The sequence below is a fragment of the Homo sapiens genome, chromosome X (assembly GCF_000001405.40).
Source record: "Homo sapiens chromosome X, GRCh38.p14 Primary Assembly".
In the NCBI taxonomy this organism is placed as follows: domain Eukaryota; kingdom Metazoa; phylum Chordata; class Mammalia; order Primates; family Hominidae; genus Homo; species Homo sapiens.
Genome location: NC_000023.11, coordinates 108272231 through 108294646, shown reverse-complemented (window position 1 = coordinate 108294646; position 22416 = coordinate 108272231). Strand labels below are relative to the sequence as shown.

Below are 22416 nucleotides of genomic sequence, written 5' to 3'. Positions count from 1 at the left end.
ACCCCAAACCGAAGCGTCTCTTTCTACCTCCCTGATGGTTCTTTATTTGTGCCATGGTCTATTTTCATTTTCATTCATAGGAACACCAAAGGGAACAATTGTAACCTTCTTGTTTTGCTCTTCTACTTCTTCCCCTTTTCTCCTTTGTTCCTTAAGGAATTGATGGCTTTGGTGTCCCTAGCAACTGCCATCCTCCTGCCTACCTACACCACATACACACACACACACACACCAAAAAAAAAAAAAACACAATTGCCCTAACAAAATTTATTCTCAGCTAGTGACATTAGTTTGCAATGAAGATCTTAAACACTTATAAAACCTTAATTTGTTACCCTTTGTTAGACCTACTTTTGTTTAATAGAAAGTCATTATTTAGCATAGTGATAAGAAAAGAACTTAGGTACCAAGCTTGGATTTTACGTTTGGTCTGGTTTCCCCATACTAAACATGTTACCCTGGGCAGTTGACCCCTGTAAGCCTCAGTTTCCTCAGCTGAAAATGAAAATAGTAATCCTATGTACATCACAGGGCTGCTATGAGGGCTAAATTGAATATACATGCTAAATGTTTGATGCAATGTCTTGAAACAGAGTACATGCTCAATAAATGCTGGTAGTTATTTTGGTAGCATCAGTGAGTGGATAGAATGTGGAATTATAGAGTACTTGTCAAGTTATATGGCCTAGAATCAACCTAGGCAGCCTGCCCACAAGGCGAGTTTTGATAAAAAGCATTTATTAAGCAAGGAAGTGCATGCCAGGTAGTATACCAATTAAGTTAAATAGCTCCTGCAAATTCTTGCCAGTTTAATCAACTAAAAACATAAAGATAACTTTTGGCTTTAAATCGCTGACTGCTTTCCTCATGGCAGTCACAACATTTTCCTCTTTAAGAATCTACAATGATTCCCAGGTGTCATCAAAAAAAAAATCACTTGACCTGTAGAATACCTAGTATAACCTGGACTTGTACAGTGTCAGGTTGGGTATAACCTGCCTGAGTAAACCAAGTAGCCTCAGCAGACCTGTATGGTTGGGTAGAATCCGAAGTCCCAAATATAGTTCAGATTATAACCCATGGGCTATTTTAGAGTTAGCAGGTTGGGATGAGAATCTGGAATAGATTTCAAGCCAGGTTATCATTTAAGGTTTTAAGTAGCTTCCAAAATCCATTCTAAGCATGGGCAGGGTGGGCAGTTGGCAGAGGTCCAAATAGGCTGCCTGAACACAATGTAAGAGCAAGTACCAGAGACCCAAACTTGACTAATAATAATATTAAGTACTTATCATAGGTGAGACACTTTGCTAAGGGCTTTATTATGTATTAATTATCTCTTTATTCTTACAACAGTTTTGTGAGAATAAGTGGTATCATCCTCTCCATTTTAAAAATAAAGGAAATCAAAGGTCACATAACTGGAAAGTTGTGAAGCTGAGATTCAATCCCATATCTGTCTGGTTCAAATATGCATACCCTCAACCATTATACTGTAATAATACCTCCCAAAACACTAAAGTACTGCTGGCAACCAAAGGCTTGGAGACTTGGGCACAAGGATAAAATGGTCCCGGCAATAAAGCTGGCTTGCTGTTTTGCTAGACAATTATTGAAGTGGAAATCATGGCTTTTTTTTTTTTTTTTTTTTTTTTTGCTTTTTTCCTTCTCTTTCCTTTCTTTTTTTTTTTTTTTTCCTAAGAGACGGGATCTCACTGTGTCATCCAGGCTGGAGGGTAGTGGCATCATCATAACTCACTGCAGCCTCGAACACCTGGGCTCATGAAATCTTTCCACTTCTGCCTCCCTAGTAGCTGAGACGACAGTGCTTTTCCTTCTACTGTGTGGTGGCAGCAGTAAGCCAAGAGGCTGAGATGGGGGCTGAGACTTTCAGGGAGGGGCTCAGAGAAGCCCTGAGTTGGATTGAAACAGATTACTGTGGTGATTTTTCAGGGTTTTATTTCTCTTGCTGTTGTACACAAGTTCACTTTGTCCTATAGATATGTCCTTGGAATTTTGTCTTGATTGCTTCACATATTCTAATTTTCATTGTTCACATATAGAATAATAGCTTCTATCACTCTACCTTTAAAGTTCTTATCTCCTTCCCTTCATCTAGAAGAGAAAATGCAACAAGCGGGAGAAGATGACCCTTTCACTCTTAAAGAGCTTCATAAACTCCTAATAAAGGAAATGATAACAATCTTTCTAAGAGGCGGCCCCATTTTGCAATGATGAAGTCTAGATGCTACAGAAATAGTCCCAGCAGGAAATAGCTGAAGGCGGAAGGCAGTGTTAAACAGAAAGCATGTGTTGAAAACCACCTTGGTCCCTTTGGAAGATGAAAATATGTTGTAAGCTACTGCTGAATGTTTTCTCCCCTCTAGTGGTCAGTGGAAGGAGGAGACAATGGTGGTATAAGTGGTGCCTACTTTTTAACTGTAAATGCAATATTACAAGTGATATTCGAAGAAAATTGCTTCCATAAGAACAATGCTATAAATGGAATTATGTTTCAGACCAAGGATACTGTATCAAAAAAATTAAAAATATGACCAACAGTTTGTGATACTAACAAAGGTACAATTACAGTAGGAGTATAATAATTCTACATAAAAAATTAAGTTGTATGCCTTATATTGGGCATAGATATATTCTATACAGTGATTAAAAAGAGGCCTCTGCTATATCATGTTTGTCATCTAAATCTAAAATGCCACCTACAATAAACAATACAATACACATTGACTAAGCATTTCATTAACAATTTTGTTTGCCTTCTTAGATTTTAACTTTAAAGTGCTCTCCAAGGTAATCTAAGTTCTCACCACAGAACCATTTATAAAAAGAAGCTCCACATTCACCCAGATATTGTTTAAAGCGTTTCCAAATGTGTCTCTAAAATTAATACTGGCAATTTCCCGTCTCAGCTAATCCTCTCTGCATTTTTGGCATTTTGTATCAATAACATTAAAAATGTTCACAGTCTTTAACCCAGGAATTCTACTCTTATGAATTTAATTGAAGGAAATACAGGAGTAAGAAAGATTTATAAGTGAAGATACTAATCAGAGCCCTATTTGTAACAGTAAAAAAAAAAATAGAAAAAGCCTATATGTCTTACAATAGGAGAATGGTTACTTAAAGAAGTATGGTATATCCCTTACAGTGGAATATCATATGGTCACATAAAGTAATGTTTCTTGGAAGAATGTTTAATACTTGTAAAAATGCTTATGGCATAATGTTAAGTGAGAATTATGGAAAACAAGTATTTATACAATATGATCACAATTTTGTAATGATAATTATTCTACACCCAATTTTTAAAAAAGGTTGAAATGACATGCACTAAAATGTTGTCAGTGCTTATCACCAGCAGAGAGGATTATGGGGAAATTGTTGGACATGCAGAGAAAGAGAAGACCACAAAAGAGACTGAGAAAGTATCAGTAAATAAGGTCCTAATGAGAGCTGAGGAAATGAGGTGACTGGAGCTAGATAATGGAGCTGGGTAGGTCCTCTTGGACAGAAGCCTAGGTTGATTCTGTGAATGAGAGGGCAGACCCAACTAGAGTGACTAGCCACCCTGGTTTGCACAGGACTGAGGGCTTTCCCAAGACATGGGACTTAATGTGCTAACACTGGAAATGTCCTAGGCAAACTGGAATGAATTGGTCACCCCAGACTCAAGACGTATCTGATTTGGAAGGCCCTATGTGATCTCCAAATTCAACCTCTTTCTTTTTCAGATTAAAAAGCACCCAGGAACTGGGAGATGGGTAGTGTCATGACCAAAGTCACACAGGTAGCAGAGCACAGGACTGAGAGTTCAAAGGATTTAGCTCTGCTCTCTGCTGTGCTGCTTATTAACAAGACATTTAATCTGAGGTTTAGGTTAAGGACATAACACCTTGCGTGTTCACCAGATTATGACAAAGACCAAATTTAATTATTCACAAATACAAGGAGTTACCAGTAACAATAAACAAGTATTAAGCACATACTACATTGCTTTGGGCTCAATTCTAAGATCAAGGAAGTATTAATAATTCCAAATTTATAGAATTATGGTAAAGTCTAATTGAGATTATATTTCTAAGCAAATTAGTACAATGTTTGCCTTCTACAAAGGACTCATTAAACGTTAGCTCTGATGATTATATGTCACATTTTAATACATAGATGTGGAAATCCCACACCACTTAATAGTAACTGTGAGACAGGTACTTTTATTAATGATCCCATTTTAGAGACAAGAAAATTGTGGCCCAGAGAGGTTATTTGCCTTGCTTAATTTTATACAGTCAGCAAGTGACAAGGCCATTTGTCTCCTGGTCAAGCCCTCTTTTCTACTTCATTAAATTCCACTCAGTAGAAAGCCTTTTTGGATGAGAGCACAGTGAACACTTTTTCTTTTTACAGTAAACTTCCTTCTTCCTACTTACATCTTCAGTTTAATGAAAGCCTCCTCTTGGACTAAATAGAGGCCACCAGGGAGCCTTCCATGAGATATTTTGTTAGCAATCTTCTGAGAATTTCAAGATCCTTTAGAAACATTGTAAAACAATTATAGAGTCTGCAGAATATCGCTTACAGGGTAAGGATTAAAGTTAGGGATGCTCTGGTAAATGTTTAACCACTGGCTCTGGGAGAGGGTGAGAGGGGGACACTGATTAGTAACATTTGCAGATATCCATGGTGTAAGTATTTCCAGCATGGCTGATTTCAAACTACTGACGAGATTCGCTCCTGCAAACCAGTGCCAGCCAATGCAGGCCAGTGCAAGCCAGTTCCAGCACACCACTGGAAGCAGAATTCCATGAGGCCATTGCTATCCTTAGTTTATATAAATTCAATAAGAATTAAAGTGTGAGCGTTATTCAGGGAGCTTGGTTTTAATATATGCAAAAGGGAGAGAGAAGTGAGTGCAGGCCAATGGGCTGGGATATTGCAGAGAGTAGGACAACTTAAGGGAATGCCCAGAGGAATGGAGGTTGCTGCCTGCAAGTCTATGTCTGGCCCTTCTTGAAACCTTTTAGGAACACCAAAGCTTGCACCTACAATAATTAGAGAAGTTTTTTTTTAAAACGAAAACAAAAACAAAAACAAAAACTTGGCACAAGCCTTTTGTTTTCCTGCCAACTTTTTAATTTGAACATTTTCAAACCTTCAGAAAAGTTGCAAGAATAGTACAAAGAACACCCATATACCTTTCACCTAGATTCACCAATTGTTAATATTTTTCCACACTTGCTCCATCTCTTTATTTCTACAAACTATTTGAGAGTGAGTTGCAGATATTTGAATTTTCACCCCTAAATACTTAAGCATGAATCTCCTAAGAACAAAGACACTCTGATACACACACACACACACACACACACACACACACACACACACACACTATACTCATTGCTCTTGGGAAATATAACATTGATAAAATATACAGGTTTAGAGTCTGTAGTCAAACTTCCCCGTTATCCCAATGATGTCCTTATAATTTTGTTTTTTCAATGCAGAATCCAATCAAAGATTATGCTTTGCATTTAGCTGACAGCCTCTTTGATCTCCATTAATCTAGAACAATTCCCCAGACCCCCACTTTTATTCTTTTGTCTTTTATGATGCTGATATTTGTTAAGAGTCCAGGCCAGTTGTTTTGCAGAATATCTCTCAGTTAGATTTGTCTGATTATTTCTCATGAATACATTGCAGTTAAACCTTTTAGTTTACTACCATGTTATGTCCTTCTCAGTGTCTCACATCAGGAGGAACATGATGTCATTTTTCCAATTATTGGTAATGTTAAACATAATCATTTGGTTAGGGTGGCGCCCAATATATTTCTCCATTGCAATGATACCAGTAAAGCTTATCATTTGTGTGAATATTCAGTTCCAGGAGAAGCTTCTTTACACTGAAAGTATAAATTACTTGGTTCACTGCAGAACCATGGGTTGAAAAGGCATTATCCCTAATTAAATGAAAAAAAAAAGAGATTTATTTAAAAATAAGCTGGCACTAAGCTTCTTAGCCAAATTCATGAACTATTCACATGACAAGGGACCTTATCTAAATAAGGAGTTCCATATCTAAATTGTGAACTCCTGGTAGAGTATTATGCCCCAGTCTATACACGCCTTTATGTCTAGAACTTAGCCTAGTGCCTAGGCTATAGTATATGCTCAGAAAAAGGTTATTGAATAAATTTCTGTCCAATTGGAATTACTGTCTCCATGAATGAGAAATTAATCATACTAAACAAAAAAAATGTACTTTTTTTGTCAACTGGCACCAGCTGGAATTGATTTGGCTGCTTAAGTACTATGTTTCTCATGGGAAATGACAGAGCTTTTCGTTTTCATCCAGGTATTTGACCTTACTTAGGCACTATTCAAGCCTTTGGCTGCTCTAAAAATCTTAGCTTTTCTATATCAAAATTAGAAGCTGTTCTAAATAAATTAAAGATCAACCCTGTGCTTGTTAAGATTATATTTGGCTACAAATGACAGAAAACCCAAAATAACAGTTAATTAAACAATACAGTCATTTATTTCTCTCTGATATAAAAGTTCCCACTTTTGGCCAAGATGGAGCAACAGGGGCTGGACTTACCCTCATGCCTAAAACAAGTGAAAAACCAGACAAAAGGAAAACAATGGTTTTCAGACATTGGATACCAGGCCACAAGGAACAGTGATTCCTGAGAGACAGGAAACTAACAAGGTGAGCCCTATGATGACCCCAGCTTATTACCTGGACAGAGTTTCCCGGCAGTGGTACAAGGACAGGGAACTGAGGCAAAGCCCAGTAGATGAGGAGATGCAGCTGGGAATCCAGGGAGACCTAGACAGGTAGAATTTGCAGAACAAGTATTAGAGAAGAGAGAGCTGCATGAAAAGAGAACTCCGGAGATATTTGGAGTCCTCCTTGAATCTTCGGTTGAGCACTGAGCAACACATGTGTGTAAGGAAACTAACCTAGACTGGGGAAAGAACTACCCAAAAGGAGCAGAAGGAACAATCCTCAGAGATCATATAGGGCTGTAAATAGTGCCTGCCCCACCAGCCAGAATAGAAAACTTTATAACTCACATAGCATCAGAGTACTAAAAGGATCATGCCTCAGTAGCAGTGCCAAATTAGCCCTAAACTCAAGGCTGCTCTAGAGCTGCCAAATAAAGTTTTAAAACAAGCCTTGAAAGAATCTGTTTCCAAGTAAGTTAACTGTGTCACAGAGCAAAGCCAAGGAGTATTTACAGAAACACAAAATATCCAGCACCCAACCAGATAAAATTCACATCTGACTTACAAACAAAAACGACCAGGCATCAAAAAGAGCAGGGAAATAGGACTCCTAATGAGAAAAGTCAACCAACCAAAACTGACCCAGAAATAACACAGATTATAGGATTACAAGACAAAGACGTTTAAACAGTTATTATAACTTTTGGTGTTTTTAAGAACCTAGATGAAAAATTGAGTATATTAAGTCAAGACATGAAAGACCCGAATAGAACTTCTAGAGTAGAAAAATTCAATGTTGAGATGATGTAAGAGTCCATGTAGGTAGTTGTGGGCTTGAATGGCATCTCCATGATCATCAGGGACCCAGACTACTTCTATCTTCTTTCTCCACTATTCTCAACATATGATTTCCAATTCAGGGTCCAAAATGGCTGCTCTAGCTTGAGCCATCATATCTTCCTTCCAACAGCACCATGAGAGACTAGGGGAAAGGAGTATGCCCCTCCATTTAAAGATGCTTAGAAATCTCAGCCAGACATGATCGCTCACACCTTAATCCCAGTGTTTTGGGAGACCTGGATGGGAAGATCACTTGAGCCCAGGAGTTCAAGACCAGCCTGGGCAACATAGTGAGACTTTGTCTCTACAAAAATTTTAAAAATTAGCCAGGTGTGGTGATGTGCACCTGTAGTCCCAGATTCTTGGGAGGCTGAGGCTGGAGGATCACTTGAGCCCAGGAGCTCAGGGCTGCAGTGCACTATGATTGTGTCACTGCACCACAGCCTGAGTGACAGACTGAGACTCTGTCTCTAAAAAAAGAAATATCTCATGACATCCCTTTTGCTTACATCCCATGGTTCAGAACTTAGTCCCAGGGTCACAGTCACCTAAAAGTGAGATCAAGAATTGTAGTCTTTATTCTGGGTGGCTATGTGCCTAGCTAAAATGTCAGAGTTATATCATTTAATGAAGAATGGGAAAACTGAAATAGGGGAACAGCTAGCCATCACATCTCAAGTTCAGAGCCTGCTCATAGTGCAGAAGAGGTCCTGATCCAGTTTGAATAGCATTATGATCCCTGGCTTAAAAATAACTTGAATAAGACTGCCCCTCGGTGTTTTTGTTACCTAGAAATTAAAAACTTGTTTGTGGTTGTTTAAATTCCAGCCCCCACACTTCTATATACTTTCGGGTTTATCTCAAACAAACTGCCAGAGTTGCTTCATTTTCCAAATCAGTGACACCAAGCTAGAGGTGGAGCTTAACATTTTGTTTGACTTATGCACATGTTTATCATTGCCAAGAAACCAGGGTCACCCAGCCTATTTATACCCTACTCCTGAAAGAGCTCACTTTCTTTCTTTCCTAATAAAGTCACTAACACCTGCAGCTGAAACAAACATTCACAGGAGCATCCACACTGCATTCTTTAGAACACCAGATCCTTCTTCCTGATGGAGAAAAAATTGGCTCATAATAGATACAACCCTTTTCTATGGGACCACCTCACTCCTACCCAGAATTTCTTTTGGTTAGCCATACAGCTATTCCTCAATCTTGAATCACCTGGCTGTTACAACTTATTGGTCCTTTTTAACAGCTTTTCAGTGTTTCTGGGTATATTATTGCTCTCATAATGCCAAAGTGGATGCCATTCTTCTCAAGAGATGGTAGGTGGGCATACAGTTGATCTGTTTTTATCAGGCAAGACTGTATTGCTGAAAAATGGCAGTTTTTGCAAGGTGCCATACAAACCAAGTGTCATGGCTGGCTCACTGAGTGTTCCTGCAGAGCATTTTGCACTAGCTCTGTGTGCTGTCTTGAGCAACTCAGACCCAAAAAAAATCTGCAGGAAGTCAGGCCTGGGTGCTTTCCAGTTGCTGATGGCTTTGATTGCTTTAACAACCCTCCGCTCAGACATTGCCATGTGACATTTCCACTTTACCCCGATAAAAGCTTTCTCATCCTGTAATCACACTGCTTCTCTATGATTAGCATCACAACTATCATTATTCTTTACACCAGGTAATGGTGAATTGTGAAGTATAACATTCACAGGGGTTTTAGTATAGCCAACTAACAATCTAGAGAAATACTTGGGTGGAAGAGATTGGGATAGAACTTCCAGTGCTGATTTGGACTCCAGATTGTGACTTCAGAGGAAGATTCTTTCCTCTTGGGCTCTCCTACTGTGAACCTGTCCACAGAGGCATGATAGAATATGCCCAATAAACACACTCACTGACCTGCTGTGCCCTATCTGATTTGATTTCCCACTGGGCACCCAGTAGACCCAGAGTATACAGCCTGGGCCGCTTGGGAAAGAACAGGTGGTTTTTGACTTGACAAAATGCTGTTTGTCAGGTACAATTTCGTTTTCAGTAAGACCTTGCTGTTTGGATAAAAGGAAGGATAGGGGTAGAAAGTTGAGGTAAAGGGAAGATAACCTGTGGGATTGGCCAGGTGTTTCTATAAAGAGGAAATGGACACTGAGAGGCTAAGTTATTTTCCAGGTGAAAGTAAGAAGTAAACCTTTGTTAGACATGGAGGCACGTTTGAAGCTTGATGCTTTATGAACTCGAAAAACTAAAACTCGGTTCCATTTATTTTAAGTAATCCTTCTTTAATCATGACTATCAAAAGATTGGTGTAAAAGCTTGAACTGCCAATGACTATTAATACTGTAAATTGCAAACATTTGCTAGCTGAATGCCTGTCTTTCTGACCACTTTTTTATTGATTGGGAAAGCATAACATTCTTTAAACTGGTTTGCTACAGATCTGTAAAGTGTCTGGATCCAAATAGTGATTTTCTCCAGTTGAGGCAAATCAAAGAGTTTTTTGGTAGTTTGTTTTGTTTTGTTTTATTTTGTTTCTGTATGTTGTCACCTGTATTCATGCTTTACTATATTGGATCATGTCTTTTTCTTTTTCTTTTTCATTATACTTTAAGTTCTGGAATACATGTGCAGAACATGCAGGTTTGTTACATAGGTATACATGTGCCATGGTGGTTTGCTGCACCCATCAGCACATCATCTACATTAGGTATTTCTCCTAATGCTATCCCTCCCCCAGCCCCCCAGCCCCCGACAGGCCCCAGTGTGTGATGTTCCCCTCCCTGTGTCCACGGTTCTCATTGTTCAACTCCCACTTAAGAGTGAGAACATGCAGTGTCAGTTGTCTTTAAGTAAAAAACTTGAGAGTTTCACCCAATTATATAAAAAAGAATAATTCAGCTTTTTAGGTTTTGTATCTTTCTTTTCAGTGGGTTAAACCTAAAGCACAAGAGCTGTCTGTCTTCTGCCAGTCAGGCAGAGCAATGGAGTAGTATTAGCAAATCAATAAATATAACACTAAACCTACTGAATGTATTACAGTTATTTCTGCCTCTGTATTTTGGGCTTCATCATCTTGCTCACATTTCTCAAGTGTGACCCTTCTTCAGATGTTGTCCTCTATCACCAGAGCATCTTTTCAAACAGCAAATTAGTATCCATCAATCTTCCTCCCCCACAGCCCACCTTTTATTAAAGAGGCTCTACCTTCCTCCCAAGCCCTCTTTTTTTCTTGGAAGACCATTTTTTCTTGGAAGACCATGTCTAATACATTCTTGTCACTTTGTATGCCTTTGTCATGGTAGATTTTAAAGGCTTTCTTAAGTGCTCCAGCTGTAAAGCACTGTGTCCTGCTGTTCTCTGTAATCAAGGATGTCAGATCTCACATGATCAGCTTTAGGTACTGAAGAGAATAGAAAGATAGTCTTTGAGACTCATTCCACTCCCCGCATCCCCGCCGCCAACCCCCCCCCAAAAAAAAAACTTAGGGGGATCACCCTCTGGCCAAAGGAGAATGTTCATCTTAAGGTACAGATGCTCTAAGGCAAACATTATTTGAACTGACAGGAACATAGCAAGTACTTACTGAACACTTAGAAGTGTACAGAATTGAGCTAGGTACAGGAGCGGAAATACAAGACTGGCATGGTATGGTTGTCGCCTTGAAAGATGTTCTATTTCCAGCTTAGGGAAGAGAGAAATAAACTGCAAAACTGTAAGAGTAAACAGTCCATCTTATAAACCATCAAATGTTAGAGTTGGAAAGGACCTTTAGTTATCATCTAGCCAAACTGTGTTTTCAAACTGTGGATCACCAAGCCCTAAGATTCAGCAGAGTGCCTCAAAGGCTGACTATCTGCCCTTCTTGCCTCTATACCTTTCTTTTTTTTATTTTTTTATTTTATTTTATTATTATTATACTTTAAGTTTTAGGGTACAAGTGCACAATGTGCAGGTTAGTTACATATGTATACATGTGCCATGCTGGTGTGCTGCACCCATTAACTCGTCATTTAGCATTAGGTATATCTCCTAAAGCTATCCCTCCCCCCTCCCCCCACCCCACAACAGTCCCCAGAGTGTGATGTTCCCCTTCCTGTGTCCATGTGTTCTCATTGTTCAATTCCCACCTATCAGTAAGAATATGCGGTGTTTGGTTTTATGTTCTTGCGATAGTTTACTGAGAATAACAATTTCCAATTTCATCCATGTCCCTACAAAGGACATGAACTCATCATTTTTTATGGCTGCATAGTATTCCATGATGTATATGTGCCACATTTTCTTAATCCAGTCTATCATTGTTGGACATTTGGGTTGGTTCCAAGTCTTTGCTATTGTGAATAGTGCCGCAATAAACATACGTTTGCATGTGTCTTTATAGCAGCATGATTTATAGTCCTTTGGGTATATACCCAGTAATGGGATGGCTGGGTCAAATGGTATTTCTAGTTCTAGATCCCTGAGGAATCACCACACTGACTTCCACAATGGTTGAACTAGTTTACAGTCCCACCAACAATGTAAAACTGTTCGTATTTCTCCACATCCTCTCCAGCACCTGTTGTTTCCTGACTTTTTAATGATTGCCATTCTAACTGGTGTGAGATGGTATCTCATTGTGGTTTTGATTTGCATTTCTCTGATGGCCAGTGATGAAGAGCACTTTTTCATGTGTTTTTTGGCTGCATAAATGTCTTCTTTTGAGAAGTGTCTGTTCATGTCCTTCGCCCACTTTTTGATGGGGTTGTTTGTTTTTTTCTTGTAAATTTGTTTGAGTTCATTGTAGATTCTGGATATTAGCCCTTTGTCAGATGAGTAGGTTGCAAAAATTTTCTCCCATTTTGTAGGTTGCCTGTGCACTCTGATGGTATTTTCTTTTGCTGTGCAGAAGCTCTTTAGTTTAATTAGATCCCATTTGTCAATTTTGGCTTTTGTTGTCATTGCTTTTGGTGTTTTAGACATGAAGTCTTTGCCCATGCGTATGTCCTGAATGGTAATGCCTAGGTTTTCTTCTAGGGTTTTTATGGTTTTAGGTCTAACGTTTCAGTCTTTAATCCATCTCGAATTAATTTTTGTATAAGGTGTAAGGAAGGGATCCAGTTTCAGCTTTCTACATATGGCTAGCCAGTTTTCCCAGTACCATTTATTAAATAGGGAATCCTTTCCCCATTGCTTCTTTTTCTCAGGTTTGTTAAAGATCAGATAGTTGTAGACATGCGGCGTTATTTCTGAGGGCTCTGTTGTGTTCCATTGATCTATATCTCTGTTTTGGTACCAGTGCCATGCTGTTTTGGTTACTGTAGCCTTGTAGTATAGTTTGAAGTCAGGTAGCGTGATGCCTCCAGCTTTGTTCTTTTGGCCTAGGATTGACTTGGCGATGTGGGCTCTTTTTTGGTTCCATATGAACTTTAAAGTAGTTTTTTCCAATTCTGTGAAGAAAGTCGTTGGTAGCTTGATGGGGATGGCATTGAATCTATAAATTGCCTTGGGCAGTATGGCCATTTTCACGATGTTGATTCTTCCTACCCATGAGCATGGAATGTTCTTCCATTTGTTTGTGTCCTCTTTTATTTCCTTGAGCAGTGGTTTGTAGTTCTCCTTGAAGAGGTCCTTCACATCCCTTGTAAGTTGGATTCCTAGGTATTTTATTCTCTTTGAAGCAATTGTGAATGGGAGTTCACTCATGATTTGGCTCTCTGTTTGTCTGTTATTGGTGTATAAGAATGCTTGTGATTTTTGTACATTGATTTTGTATCCTGAGACTTTGCTGAAGTTGCTTATCAGCTTAAGGAGATTTTGGGCTGAGACAATGGGGTTTTCTAGATATACAATCATGTCGTCTGCAAACAGGGACAATTTGACTTCCTCTTTTCCTAACTGAATACCCTTTATTTCCTTCTCCTGCCTAATTGCCCTGGCCAGAACTTCCAACACTATGTTGAATAGGAGTGGTGAGAGAGGGCATCCCTGTCTTGTGCCAGTTTTCAAAGGGAATGCTTCCAGTTTTTGCCCATTCAGTATGATATTGGCTGTGGGTTTGTCATAGATAGCTCTTATTATTTTGAGATACGTCCAATCAACACCTAATTTATTGAGAGTTTTTAGCCTGAAGGGTTGTTGAATTTTGTCAAAGGCCTTTTCTGCATCTGTTGAGGTAATCATGTGGTTTTTGTCTTTGGTTCTGTTTATATGCTGGATTACATTTATTGATTTGTGTATGTTGAACCAGCCTTGCATCCCAGGGATGAAGCCCACTTGATCATGGTGGATAAGCTTTTCGATGTGCTGCTGGATTCGGTTTGCCAGTATTTTATTGAGGATTTTTGCATCAATGTTCATCAAGGATATTGGTCTAAAATTCTCTTTTTTGGTTGTGTCTCTGCCCGGCTTTGGTATCAGGATGATGCTAGCCTCATAAAATGAGTTAGGGAGGATTCCGTCTTTTTCTATTGACTGGAATAGTTTCAGAAGGAATGGTACCAGTTCCTCCTTGTACCTCTGGTAGAATTCGGCTGTGAATCTATCTGGTCCTGGACTCTTTTTGGTCAGTAAGCTATTGATTATTGCCACAATTTCAGAGCCTGTTATTGGTCTATTCAGAGATTCAACTTCTTCCTGGTTTAGTCTTGGGAGGGTGTATGTGTCGAGGACTTTATTCATTTCTTCTAGATTTTCTAGTTTATTTGCGTAGAGGTGTTTGTAGTATTCTCTGATGGTAGTTTGTATTTCTGTGGGATCGGTGGTGATATCCCCTTTATCATTTTTTATTGCGTCTATTTGATTCTTCTCTCTTTTCTTCTTTATTAGTCTTGCTAGCGGTCTATCAATTTTGTTGATCCTTTCAAAAAACCAGCTCTTGGATTCGTTAATTTTTTGAAGGGTTTTTTGTGTCTCTATTTCCTTCATTTCTGCTCTGATTTTAGTTATTTCTTGCCTTCTGCTAGCTTTTGAATGTGTTTGCTCTTGCTTTTCTAGTTCTTTTAATTGTGATCTCAGGGTGTCAATTTTGGATCTTTCCTGCTTTCTCCTGTGGGCATTTAGTGCTATAAATTTCCCTCTACACAGTGCTTTGAATGTGTCCCAGAGATTCTGGTATGTTGTGTCTTTGTTCTCATTGGTTTCAAAGAACATCTTTAATTCTGCCTTCATTTCGTTGTGTACCCAGAAGTCATTCAGGAGCAGGTTGTTCAGTTTCCATGTAGTTGTGCGGTTTTGATTGAGTTTCTTAATCCTGAGTTCTAGTTTGATTGCACTGTGGTCTGAGAGATAGTTTGTTATAATTTCTGATCTTTTACATTTGCTGAGGAGTGCTTTACTTCCAACTATGTGGTCAATTTTGGAATAGGTGTGGTGTGGTGCTGAAAAAAATGTATTTTCTGTTGATTTGGGGTGGAGAATTCTGTAGATGTCTATCAGGTCCACTTGGTGCAGAGCTGAGTTCAATTCCTGGGTATCCTTATTAACTCTCTGTCTCGTTGATCTGTCTAATGTTGACAGTGGGATGTTAAAGTCTCCCATTATTTTTGTGTGGGAATCTAAGTCTCTTTGTAGGTCACTCAGGACTTGCCTTATGAATCTGGGTGCTCCTGTATTGGGTGCATATATATTTAGGATAGTTAGCTCTTCTTGTTGAATTGATCCCTTTACCAATATGTAATGGCCTTCTTTGTCTCTTTTGATCTTTGTTGGTTTAAAGTGTGTTTTATCAGAGACTAGGATTGCAACCCCTGCCTTTTTTTGTTTTCCATTGGCTTGGTAGATCTTCCTCCATCCTTTTATTTTGAGCCTATGTGTGTCTCTGCACGTGAGATGGGTTTCCTGAATACAGCACACTGATGGGTCTTGGCTCTTTATCCAACTTGCCAGTCTGTGTCTTTTAATTGGAGCATTTAGTTCATTTACATTTAAGGTTAATATTGTTATGTGTGAATTTGATCCTGTCATGATGATGTTAGCTGGTTATTTTGCTAGTTAGTTGATGCAGTTTCTTCCTAGCCTCGATGGTCTTTACAATTTGGCATGTTTTTGCAGTGGCTGGTACCGGTTGTTCCTTTCCGTGTTTAGTGCTTCCTTCAGGATCTCTTGTAGGGCAGGCCTGGTGGTGACAAAATCTCTCAGCATTTGCTTGTCTGTAAAGGATTTTATTTCTCCTTCACTTATGAAGCTTAGTTTGGCTGGATATGAAATTCTGGATTGAAAATTCTTTTCTTTAAGAATGTTGAATATTGGCCCCCACTCTCTTCTGGCTTGTAGAGTTTCTGCCGAGAGATCCGCTGTTAGTCTGATGGGCTTCCCTTTGTGGGTAACCCGACCTTTCTCTCTGGCTGCCCTTAACATTTTTTCCTTCATTTCAACTTTGGTGAATCTGACAATTATGTGTCTTGGAGTTGCTCTTCTCGAGGAGTATCTTTGTGGCATTCTCTGTATTTCCTGAATCTGAATGTTGGCCTGCCTTGCTAGATTGGGGTAGTTCTCCTGGATAATATCCTGCAGAGTGTTTTCCAACGTGGTTGCATTCTCCCCGTCACTTTCAGGTACACCAATCAGACATAGATTTGGTCTTTTCACATAGTCCCATATTTCTTGGAGGCTTTGTTTGTTTCTTTTTATTCTTTTTTCTCTAAACTTCCCTTCTTGCTTCATTTCATTCATTTCATCTTCCATCACTGATACCCTTTCTTCCAGTTGATTGCATCGGCTCCTGAGGCTTCTGCACTCTTCATGTAGTTCTTGAGCCTTGGCTTTCATCTCCATCAGCTCCTTTAAGCACTTCTCTGTATTGATTATTCTAGTTATACTTTCGTCTAAATTTTTTTCAAAGTTTTCAACTTCTTTGCCTTTGGTTTGAATTTCCTCCTGTAGCTCGGAGTAGTTTGATCGTCTGAAGCCTTCTTCTCTCAACTCGTCAAAGGCATTCTCCGTCCAGCTTTGTTCTGTTGCTGGTGAGGAGCTGCGTTCCTTTGGAGGAGGAGAGGCGCTCTGCTTTTTAGAGTTTCCAGTTTTTCTGCTCTGTTTTTTCCCCATCTTTGTGGTTTTATCTATTTTTGGTCTTTGATGATGGTGATGTACAGATGGGATTTTGGTGTGGATGTCCTTTCTGTTTGTTAGTTTTCCTTCTAACAGACAGGACCCTCAGCTGCAGGTCTGCTGGAGTTTGCTAGAGGTCTACTCCAGACACTGCTTGCCTGGGTACCAGCAGCGGTGGCTGCAGAACAGCGGATTTTCGTGAACCGCGAATGCTGCTGTCTGATCGTTCCTCTGGAAGTTTTGTCTCAGAGGAGTACCCGGCCATGTGAGGTGTCAGTCTGCCCCTGCTGGGGGGTGCCTTCCAGTTAGGCTGCTCGGGGGTCAGGGGTCAGGGACCCACTTGAGGAGGCAGTCTGCCCGTTCTCAGATCTCCAGCTGCGTGCTGGGAGAACCACTGCTCTCTTCAAAGCTGTCAGACAGGGACGTTTAAGTCTGCAGAGGTTACTGCTGTCTTTTTGTTTGTTTGTGCCCTGCCCCCAGAGGTGGAGCCTACAGAGGCAGGCAGGCCTCCTTGAGCTGTGGTGGGCTCCACCCAGTTCGAGCTTCAGGGCTGCTTTGTTTACCTAAGCAAGCCTGGGCAATGGTGGGCACCCATCCCCCAGCCTCGCTGCCACCTTGCGGTTTGATCACAGACTGCTCTGCTAGCAATCAGCGAGACTCCATGGGCGTAGGACCCTCTGAGCCATGTGCGGGATATAATCTCCTGGTGCGCCGTTTTTTAAGCCCACCGGAAAAGCGCAGTATTGGGGTGGGAGTGACCCGATTTTCCAGGTGCCGTCTGTCACCCCTTTCTTTGGCTAGGAAAGGGAACTCCCTGACCCCTTACGCTTCCCGAGTGAGGCAATGCCTCGCCCTGCTTCGGCTTGTGCACCCACTGTCCTGCGCCCACTGTCTGGCACTCCCTAGTGAGATGAACCTGGTACCTCAGATGGAAATGCAGAAATCACCCGTCTTCTGCATCGCTCACGCTGGGAGCTGTAGACCAGAGCTGTTCCTATTCGGCCATCTTCGCCTCTATACCTTTCAACCAGTGGTACTTCTTTGAAATTCTCTAAGATTTTGTTTGGACAAAGGTTCCATTGCTTTCGAAAATTTCCATGTTATTAATCTAGTCCAGCTTTCTCATGATACAGATGAAGAAACAGAGCCCCAGAAAGTAAGGGAATGTTTGAGGTACATAGCCAATTAAAGGTTGAAATCCTCAGTATCCTGATTCTAGTGATCCACTTCCCCATGCCACCTAGCAGCCAAGCAGCAAACACCTTTAAAATGGCAGAGTGGCTTGCTGCCTTAGGAAGAGCCACCTGCCTTAGGAGCAGGAAGAAGTTGCCTTTGGTTATCCTGAGCCAGGTGCTCAGGTCTGCATTACTCTAGGAGGTCAAAAAAAGGAGAGATCAGTAAGGGATGTAGTTTAGCCTTCCATTTTGCTGCCCTCAAATGTCCTCATCTTTCACAGGGGATAAGAGTACCTAGCTGGTAGAGTTGTTGTGAGGATTAATCTAGATCACACATGCAAAGTATCTGGGACATAGTAGGTGCTAAATAAATGGTAGAACTTAATACTATAACTATTTCTTTGGAACATAAAGTGCCTATCTTCTAGCTTTGTGGCTCCCAATTATTCTATAAGCAAAGACAATGAGAATCTGTGAATCAGAATCCAGGTCCAAAGTTTACCTGGTTTACCAGCTAAATGTCAATTTCATGTCAGTTGGTGGGATCAAGGAACAGCCTTAACTTGCCAGAGAGCTTGGCATGCTTTGGCAAGGTCTGTGCCCTACTCTGCCAGAACAAAGTGCTAAAAAGAAGATGTGGTATTAGGGCTTGTTTAAGACATAGGTCTGGAAAATACAATTCTTTGCTTTGCCTCTCATAATCTGACTGGCATAAATGAGGGAGATAATTGTCATAAGGGATGGTTGTTTTTCTTGGATAAATTCCATTCTTGAGAAATCACGAATGAAATTTCCTCACTTGGAACTAACATTTGTATACATTGCTACAAAGAGATCTAAACAGGAGGAACCTTCTGTTTTAGAGAAATGGCCTGGAAGACATCATGGATGGCATTGCCTGCTTTCATAGAGTATGTGCTTCCTGTTTAGTGTCTGTGACTTTGGCTGGGGAATTTTCCAAGGCAAAGGTTACATTTTGGGCTTGAACTTCAAAGCTCTACTCATGTGCACCCGTATGCCAATCTCAGTCCCACACGATTGATTTCCTCCTGAAGGCATATGTGCTTTCATTTGGGTTTCGGCCTTGGAGACTTCAATTCCAGTGTTTGTACTCTGCTAATTCCCCCTTAGATTATACATTGCATCCCCTCTTCTTTCAATTGCTTTATCTCCTTTGAGCAGTGATCCTGATTTATTAAAGGTTAAACAGTTTACCCCAATTGCCCAGTTAGAATGTGGCAAGAGCCAAGAATAGAAACTAGGTAATATGACTCTAGAATTTGGGAGCTTAACCTCTATACTCTATTGCTCAGGGATTTCAAAAGCAAGAGGAAACACCTCATGGCTGGTGGAATCAAGAATTAACTCATACAGGATAGAGCAATGGGCTTTGTGGGATGCATAGGATTTTAACAGAAACGAAGCAGTGGAGTAATTTGAGTGTGCCATACAGATAGGAAAACACAGGATAAATATGGGCCAGGGTACTTGGCTTGTCTTGAATATAGGATTGCTTGAAGGAGGTATTGGTAGATAATTCCTTGAACATAGTTGAAAGTATCTTATGGAGAAACTGTTTTGATAGAATGAACTATGCTTAGTTTTGGAAGCAATAGAAGGTTCTTCCTTTCTTCCTTATTTACCTTTTCTTCCCTTCCTTCATTTCCATTTTTCTTCCTTTCCTCCCAAGTAATACAAGTGCTTTATAGAATAAAAACTATAAAATTTCAAAATAGAATACCACTTGAAAGCAGGGATGATTAGTGTTAACATCCTAATGTATATACCCCTAGATTTCTTTCTTATTAAAATATATTAATATAAAATAATTCTGTGCTATGGAAGACAAGATTCTAAGACTCCCACCCCCGCCTATATGACCTGTATAATTCCCTCCTCTTGAGTGTGGGTGGGACCTGTGAATATGATGGGATATTGCTCTCCTGATTAAGTTATGTTACATGGCAAAGGTGCTAGAATAGTCATTCCCATGATTATATTATAGAAAAATGTCCAGCTGGCTTTGAAGAAAAATCTTCATGCTGTGAGAGGGCCATGTGGCTGGGACCTGAGAGTAGCTTCTAGGAACTAAGACTCACTCCCAACAGGCAGCCAACAAGAAAACAAGGACCCTGGTCCTAAAACCACATGGAACTTAATTTTTCAAACAACCAATGAGCTTGGGTCACAGTCCTGGCTGATACTACAATTTTAGCCAGTTGAGTGTATTAACTATATTTTCTTATTTTCTGTATTCCTGATGCTCTGGCCTCTGGAGCTTCACTGAATGGGAAGAGATTCTCCACGGCTAGCTGTATCTTAGAGACAGCAAATAACTTGCCTAAGACCATGTATTTCATATGTAAGCCAACTAACCCAGAGCCCACACTCTGAACCACCTCCTGCGTCTGGTTCTTACATACCAGAAGGCAATATTCTTCTGCCCTGATCATCGCAGAGCCAGTAACCAGGAAACTAGAGACCATCCTTATACCCAAGACCCACTGAAATCATTCAAGCTAGCCAATCCAAAACATGCTTATCCTGCCTTGCCTTTCCCATGGAAACCACAATAAAGGCTCTGGGCCATGCTTTCTCCTCACTTCTTCTGCTTCCTGACTGACCCTGGTGCTTCCCCATGTAGCCCCATGTAGCATGGCAAGCTCCCTCCTCTTAACTGTGAGCAACAAAACAGCTTTTCAGTGGCACTTATCTCTTGCTCTGTAGACCTCATCATACCTAATTAATAATAAAACCTACATTTCAGGACAGTGAGAGTTCCTAAGCAGAGGGCCCAGCTAAAACATGTTCACACTTCCTGTTCATGGAAACTGTGACAATAAATTTGTGTTGTTTTAAGCTGCTAAGTTCATGGAAATCTGTTACACAGCCATAGAAAACTAGTACACATGAAAAAAAATTATATATAAACATACTCTATCTTTCTCTAACCTATGTGTTCCCACTTAATATTAGCATGTATATCTCCATGCCATTGAAAGATTTTGAGTAAAGGAATGGAACAATTGAAGCTGAGATTTGAAACAGCAGTAAAATGTGGGACACGTGAGAAAACATGGCAGGAGATTATAGAGATCATCTGGATCCATGGTACTCAGCCTTGGAATCACCTAGAAACACTTTTAAAATACAGATACCAGCTTCATCCATGTCCCTACAAAGGACATGAACTCATCCCTTTTTATGGCTGCATAGTATTCCATGGTGTATATGTACCATATTTTCTTAATCCAGTCTATCATTGATGGACATTTGGGTTGGTTCCAAGTCTTTGCTATTGTGAGTAGTGCTGCAATAAACATACGTGTGCATGTGTCTTTATAGTAGCATGATTTATAATCCTTTGGGTATATACCCAGTAATGGGATGGCTGGGTCAAATGGTATTTCTAGTTCTAGATCCTTGAGGAATCGCCACACTGTCTTCCACAATGGTTGAACTAGTTTACAGTCCCACCAACAGTGTAAAAGTGTTCCTATTTCTCCACATCCTCTCCAGCACCTGCTGTTTCCTGACTTTTTAATGATCACCATTCTAACTGGTGTGAGATAGTATCTCATTGTGGTTTTGATTTGCATTTCTCTGATGGCCAGTGATGATGAGCATTTTTTCATGTGTCTGTTGGCTGCATAAATGTCTTCTTTTGAGAAGTGTCTGTTCATATCCTTCGCCCACTTTTAGATGGGGTTGAGAACACTTGGACACAGGATGGGGAACGTCACACACCGGGGCCTGTCGTGGGGTGGAGGGAGCGGGGAGGGATAGCATTAGGAGATATACCTAATGTAAATGACGAGTTAGTGGGTGCAGCACACCAACATGGCACATGTATACATATGTAACAAACCTGCAAGTTGTGCACATGTACCCTAGAACTTAAAGTATAATAATAATAAAAATAAATAAAAAAGAAAGTAAAAAATATATATAAAATAAAATACAGACACCTAGAACTCACTACTCATAGATATTTTACTTTAATTAATCTGAGATACAACCTGGGAATCTGGTATTTTAAATCTCCCCAGATGACTCTAATGCAAAGCCGAGGTTGATAACCATTGGCAGATAGAAGTAGAGAGTGCTATCTCGAATTAAAGTTGTCCTACTGAAATAAAAAATGAGAGATGGGTTAAAAAAAAAAAGCATTTCTGGAGAAGCCACTGATAACCAAACAGTAAGAAGACTGGGAATCCTACTGCTTATCTCGCTTTTGTTGTTGTTGTTGTTTGTTTTGTTGGTTGATTGCTTGGTTTTAATTAAATTTCCACTCATCTCATTTTTATTATGAAGAGAATTTTCATGGGGAGATAGAAATTTGAGGCTGGCTATGCATACATGGAGTGACAGGATTGTTGAGGAGGTCTCAAGGAACATTTTAGGCAAAGGAAGTGGTTTGAGTAAAGTCTCAAAAGTGAGAATCAGTGTTCTAGGTACCAGCCTGAAGTGGGTTGACACAGTGAGTGAAGTTCGAGTAATAAGGCTGCTACACAGAGGCTTTGATGCCATAGGAAACCAAGAGTCATTCATATTCCTTTAAAAGAATGAGAACGAACTGATTTTTCTAAACAGTAGCTCAGCAAGATGACCTGAGTGCAATATAAA

At 40.1% G+C, this 22416-nt stretch overlaps 1 protein-coding gene across 15 annotated transcripts in view; it reads left to right on the top strand.

Annotated features, from left to right (window-relative positions):
- The window catches only part of COL4A6 (collagen type IV alpha 6 chain), a 283845-nt gene that overhangs the window by 144812 nt on the left and 116617 nt on the right, over positions 1-22416 (top strand). The window lies entirely within an intron of this gene.